This window comes from Homo sapiens, chromosome 2 (assembly GCF_000001405.40).
Source record: "Homo sapiens chromosome 2, GRCh38.p14 Primary Assembly".
Taxonomy (NCBI): Eukaryota; Metazoa; Chordata; class Mammalia; order Primates; family Hominidae; genus Homo; species Homo sapiens.
Window position 1 is genome coordinate 217,269,633 of NC_000002.12, and position 6,936 is coordinate 217,276,568.

The 6,936-nt window shown below is 44.8% G+C and overlaps 1 annotated feature.

Annotated features, from left to right (window-relative positions):
• Positions 417–1,045: an enhancer, noted in NCBI's record as "OCT4-NANOG hESC enhancer chr2:218134772-218135400 (GRCh37/hg19 assembly coordinates)". NCBI's record gives its function as "activates a minimal SCP1, AML or CMV promoter by ChIP-STARR-seq in naive and primed H9 embryonic stem cells {active_cell/tissue: H9 hESC(naive and primed)}" and the evidence as "EXISTENCE:reporter gene assay evidence [ECO:0000049][PMID:30033119]".

Below are 6,936 nucleotides of genomic sequence, written 5' to 3' on the forward strand. Positions count from 1 at the left end.
AATACTTTCTCTAACTGGCCACAGTGCTCTCCAGGGAAAGATGTTTGATCTGGGGCACTGAGGCATTCTTCCCTGCTGATTGTTGGGAAATGCAGCTCCTCTGTGGAAAGGGGCTTTGCTGCCATCGTATTGAGGTAAGTGCCTATAGGGAAGAGAGGTGAAGTGGGGGAGACGTAGACCACATTCCTCCTACCAGGAAAAAGGGGCTGGCTTCTTTCTGAGAACTGCTTTCTGCTGGGAAGGGGCTGGATGAGCCATGTAACCCCACCTTTTGCTTGGAAATGAAGAGCTTTCCCACTCCAGAGGAAGGAGAGGGGAGGAGAGGAGGGAAAGGGCTGCAGAGCATGTTCCTCCCGTTCCCTCTCAAGCAGAAAGGAAAGCTGTCTTCAATTAGGAAGGGGAAGGAGATTCAAAACATCTGGCGGGAAAAGTGCTGGTTCTGGAGGGTCTTTGGGAGGAGGATGGAGGCTTGTGGACAGCGCGCCTGCCTTGCTGGACCTGACACAGCCCTCTGAGAGTCTGTCACCACCTCTTCCTCTTCAGCTCTGTCTGGTCTCCTTGTGAGGCTGAGCCTTTGGCTGCCTCCTGCCCTGGGCTAAAGGAAGCAGTAACAGCAGCCACAACCTGGGCAGCACAGCCCACAGCTTTCTCCTCGGGGGTCAATGGGTAATTTGCACAACAGAGAGACCACCCACGGAGGCAGTACAGAGTTCACAACCTCTAGCACTTAGGCATCTAATCAGTTTGGTTTTGCCTGTGGAGAGCTTCCCCTTGAATCTCAAAGCTACCAAGCTGCCTTCCTCCCCATCCTTTAAAATACTTCCAGGCTCCCATCTCCTCTTAGGAGCCTTCTTGAAATATTTGCAGAAACTTTATATTCCTCCTCCCCAACCACATACACAATGTCACAGCTGCCTCTTCCATTTGCTTGCATCTCCTGTGGACTGCTCACCTTCTCCACCCCAAGCAAAGCAGATGGCTGAGGGACATTCAGGTTGCTTACAGAGCTGTGGAAAATTCTCTGGAAATCACCTGCCTGTCCTAGAGACCCCAGGTTTCCCAGGAGTCACAAGGCACCAAAGCCTGGAGGTTCCTTAAAGATCACCTGCTGGGTGGGATTTACTACATTCCCCAGGAGGTCACGGCCCAGGGCCTCTGATCAGGATTTCCTTTGGGGTGGGCAGATTGGGTGTGGAAAGGAGGCCAGGAAAGGCCTTTTGGTTTTCTCAATGACTGACAGAGCAGAGGGGTGATCTGAGAAGGAGCTGGGCATTCCAGGATTGTGCAAATGTGGGCCCAGCATCTGTTTTCCATTAGCCTCTTTCATTGAAACATGGTAGTCTCTTATGAGTTTAAAGTTTGTATTAAGCATCCAGGCCCTAGAAAGTTCTTTGTTTCATGGAAGGTGAACTCCCCATCCCACTTAAAAGCCATGGAATTGTGTGCCATATCCCAAAGGAGCACCCATTCAAAGGCACATGCCAAAGCTTTATCCCTGCCCTATGGGCCATGATGGCTCCTGAGACTTCCAGCCATGATGGCAAGAAGCAGTTGACTATCACTCCTAAACCTCAGCTGGTTCATGTATAGGAATGCATATTGCTGCAAAATTATAGCATCATGGACTTTAGAGTTGAAAGGAATTTTAAACGTTGAGACTGATTTTTATTTGACACAAAAAGAAATGAAGTTCCAGAGAAGTTACATGATGTAACCAAGGTCACACAACCAACTGAAACACCTAGGTATTAGTCCATGTTTTGCAAGGACCTTTGACACTGCTGTTTTCGTGATATACTGCATTAGAGTAAGACACTAAGAGACCCTAGGTATGAAAAAAAAGATGTAACATTAAAAATAAATACAACATTAAACTTAAAAAGATTAGACTTACAAATTTTACTAAAGGGAAAATAAACTGTTGCCCCCTAGATGTTTTGATTGCAAAATTCTGCAAAAGTTCATTAGAGATGAGGTTTTCTATTTTTTGTTTATATCCTGCTCACCCTGGTGCTTTGTAGCACGTAGTCAGTCTTGCCAACTGGGTAGATAACCAACAATGATACATGCCATATATTTTGAGAGTAAGCACATTTAAAGAACAGGAGTCCCACACTCTCTTTTTCCCTTTGGTTCTTCCGTGAGGGCTCTGTGAGGGGGAGGAATTTCAGGAGTTAAACGTTTAAGGGCTCGAAAGGGACACCGGGCCAGAATCCCCCAGCTAAGCTGGTTCTGGCATTATCTTGCTAGCAGTCATTTCTAGTCACTTGGTATTTGTGCCATGCCTGGCCTCCTTAGGAATCTGAGGAAGGACTAAAGCCTGTTTGGTGTGATCACTTTTTCTGCCCCAAAGGCTTCCTGCATCACCAGCCAAGAACCCAACCCAATGAGTGAGTGAAGAGCCAGAAAGACCAGACTGGTGCACACAGGGACATTGGCTAATTTTAGATCCAGGGACTGGGTGGGGACCAGATATGAGGGTGGGGATCTTGGATGGAGGCCACTTGAAGATTGAAGGCTAAATGTTGGGGCCTAAGACTCTCCAAGAACGTGCAGGAGAAAGACTTTGTGGGTCCCATGGAGCAGACATAAATAGGGGGTGCAGTGATGGACACAGGAGTGTGAAAGTCTCCTGAGAAAAGTGGAAAAGGCCTTTTCAGTCTAGTAAGTTGATATATTAACTCACACCAATCTTTTCCTCCATTTCAGAAGCAGAATTTCCTTCATTTGCATAGCCCTTTTTACACTGATCCTTTTAAGACTGGAAGGCGATTGTTACTTGATAAACTCAAAGAATTGAGGACAACAGACAGATGACAGACAGAATAAAAATGAACACAAGTGATGACCACACCATTCAGAATCATAGGTTGCCACTCATCCTTCCAGGCAAAGTTGACTGTAAAATATAAGATTGACTCTTCTTTTAGTATTTTGAATTTTTTTCCGTATCATTTTAACTGGGAGATTTGCTTGATTAAAATTTTCAAAGAGGATTTCAAAGCAGTATCCAGAACCTCTGAAAGCTGGTCTCATGGCTGAGGTGTGAGTGGAACATATTATTCTTCCGTTCCCTCACTTGGAAGCAGCAGTTGAAAATATTTAGGTTTTTTACTTCTAATTTCCACACCATGAAAACCCAGAGGCATGTTCTGATAGATGGCCAACTGGCACTTTTATAATTTTTAAAAGAGCTGACAATTAAAAAGATGTGGGATGGGGGAAAATAAAGAGAATTCCTCCCTAAAAAAGTAAACAAGTACTAATTTTTTTATTATTTGGGTGATCAGTGCTAATCAGATTGACTTTATTTGGAGGCCCTGAGAACCACATGGTACCAAAAATCCAGACTCAGAATAATGCCATGTGTGAGATACTGAGCTAAGCTTGAGAAACTAGATCCACTTCTGTTTGGAGAGGAGGTGAAGAGGGGGATGAGGAGGAGGAAAGCCCGATTTTTCCTTTGTTTCCTTTTGAAATAAAGCAAGAAAGTGCTGAAACACCCTTCTTAGGCTGGTGGGAAATCAAGGCTAACTGATCCCAGGTGGATTAAGTAGCCAGCGAGTCCAGGAAATGTCTAGTCCAGTGACCTTCTGACAGGTAGGGGGTTGGGAGCTGGCTATGCCCACCTCAGGACCTTCAGGAATCCCACACCTGCCCTCTGAGGTGCTGCTGCCTTGACCGACCTTTTCACACCCAGAGCCAAGAATTACAGCCTGTCTGAGCTCACCTCTCTGTGACCTCCCAGTCCTACTCCTTTACCCGGAGACACATCTGGGGCCCAGCTGAGCTCAGATGTTGGAAGGGCTTATCACACCCATCCTCCTCCAACTGCCCCAGGTGCCCAGGGAAAAGTGATCACCAAGGCAACAAAGGGACCTCCTGCGACCTTGGGTCACCCTCTGAGATGAACATTTGGGGAATGAGGTTAAGGGATCCTGGACCAGCACGCTTTTCCAAAAGGACACTGCTCATCCACCTCTGTAGGACTTACTGGGCCATCCTGACCGCACCACCCAGTGAATCCCACTAGAAAGCAGGTCCATACAGAGCAGAGGCCTTTTCTATTAGGTTGGTGCAAAGGTAATTTCAGTTCTTGCCATTTTTTTTTTAACAGCAACCTAATACTTCAAACTGCATTTCCACTGCCCTGCACAATGCCTGGCACAAGTGGGAATGTAGCACATGCTTGTTAAATGAATGCAGGAATGAATGAAGGAGGCTCCATGGGCCCCAATCTTCCTGACAATGTACTGTGCTCCAGAACCTATGGCCTTTTTTCTTTACCTCTCACCCTTCTTTTCTTGATCTATGCCTTCCTTTTCAAGGGCCCTTTCTCTCAGTTTCATAACACTTGGAAGGCACTCAGAGCCCATTTAAAATCAACGTGACGATGCACAGGACCATACTTATTCCCAGTTGCATTAATTTCCTTAGGCAGCCATAACAAAACACCACACACAAGGGACCTTAAACAACAGAAATGTGTTTTCTCACAGTTGTGAAGGCTGGAAGGAAGCCCAGGATCAAGGTATCAGCAGGGTTAGGTTCTGCTGACCTCTCTCCTTGGTTCATAAATAGCCACCTCTGGCTATGTCCTAACATGGCCTTTTCTCTGTACATGTGTAGAGAGAGAAAAAGAGAGAGAGGGAGTATGAATCTCTGGTATCTTTTCCTCTTGCTGTAAGGACATCAGTCCCATGGGATTAGGGCTCCATTCTTATGACCTCATTTAACTTTTTAAAATTACCCCATTAAAGGCCCTATTTTTTATTATAACCCCTTTGAGGATTATAGCTTCAACCTATGGATTTTGGGGGGATACCACTAAGTTCATAACATCAGGCAAAAGGAGTTCTCTGATGGGTCCCACAATCTGGAGGTACCACTCTGGCCCTCCTCTGGTCATGCCCTTCCCCAGAGCATGAGCAACCTACCAGATTATAGGGTCATGTCCATCCAGAGCTGGCGCTCCACCTTCTAGACTATATTCTGGGTACATGGTACCCCAAAATTCCTTTCCCAAGGAAGGACCCTGCCTCCCACTCAGTGGGTGGCCATGGAGCAGCTATTTCAGGGGAGCCAAAACAGAGCTTGGAATGTGAGCCAGTTTGTCTACACATGAGCCTGCCAGGCCCTCCATGACGTGGGAAGATGCCTGGGGAGGAAAAAGAGAGGGGGTAACCCAGGATCATGGGGCCGGAGGCTGGGACTACAGCCAGCTTACCACAAGCCACCATATTGTGGCAGGAGGACAGTACATATTTATTTAATACTTCCTTAGCTTCCTATAGAGCTTTTACATATTTAGACGTGATAGATGGGCCTCCTTTTGTACTCCTCCCCTGGGCACAGTAAATGTTACACATGGGCTCGACCTACATTCTGGTTTGTCCTAGGACAATCCGAGTTTATGCCTGATGTCCTACAGTATTATTAATACCATCACACTTTCATTTTCAATGTCCTGTTTGGGGACAATAAATTGTGTGCTCTGCTCAGCTATAAGATACAACATTAACACAGAAGTTGGGGAACCGACCGAGAAGAGGTTGATCTAGAATAATGAAATAGTTGTTAACCCACCCCTGAGCTGGCTGCAGGATGTACGAGATGTACAAGACACGCTTCCTCCCCAAGGAGTTTGTTGATTATGTCTAGGGCACCAGACTCACACTTTGCTTTCTCTAGAGAACAATGCAGGAAAGTGCACAGATGTAGTTGAGTACTTAATTAATCAGGGCCCAAATATACGGTGTGGATAGTGAAAGGAATATGACTGTCTGCAGAATTCTCCAAACTAGGGCTTCTTAGGCTGGAGCACATAAAATGGAAAACTAGTTCAACAGAAAGAATAGTAATACAAAAGGAATAGAAATCTTTCTGTACATATAAAACAATAAACAAAAGAAGCCCATGAAACTCCCTTAATGCCTCTCACAGCCCCCTGGGTTAAGGACTGAGCAAAGGTTTGAGGCATTTTCTTTTTCTGCATCCAAGTCCTTATTTTCAATTAACACTCTCATCACATCCCTTCCTGGGGACAGGAGCCTGAGGAAGCTTGAACAGGTAGGGACCATCTGGACCAGCTGCACTGGCTGTAGTCTGGTTGTTTTAAATCTCACCTTGCTCCTTCCCTCTGGTCCCTCAACTCCCTTCTCCAGATGCTCAGGCCTATATGTCTTGATCTCATGAAAGCTCTGAAGCTCTGTGACCTTTTCTGACAACTTACTCTCTGTGCTGATTTTCTTTTGCGTAAAGCACCTGCCATATGGACACATCTTCCTAGTTACCCTCTCATCTGTGAGAGTCCACTGGATTGGAGTACCACAGTTAGGTTCACAACCCTGAGTCTGTACGGAGTCTCTGAGGTCATTACCTCTCTCTTTGTGCCAGTATAAGGGATGGTTTTTTAATTGAGATCTTTATTAATTTTCACATGTAACTTTTACACAATAGATAATATATCCCCACAGAATAATATTCAGAATATACAAAAGGGAATACTGTAAAAAGCCTTATGTATTCAGTTCCTTTCTAGTTTTGCGTATTTTTTCCAGAGAGGTTTATTTTCTGTCTCTTATTATTCCTTTTAAAAAATACAAGAGCGAATATGCAAAGCATATTGCTCTACACTGGCTTTTGTTTTAAGTAAACCTTCTGTTTTAGAATAGCTTTAAATTTATAAAAAATTGCAAAAGTAGAATAGAGAGTTCCTATTAACCCCCTACACACACACACACACACACACACACCACGTTCCTCTAATAATAATAGCTTAACATTAGTAAGGTGCATTTGTTGCAATTAATAAGCCAATATTGACACATTATATTTAATGAAAGTTTGTACTTTACTCAGATGTTCTTTGTATTTACCTCATGTCATTTTCCTGTTGCAAGATTACTTCCACAACACTACAGTTCATTTAGTTGT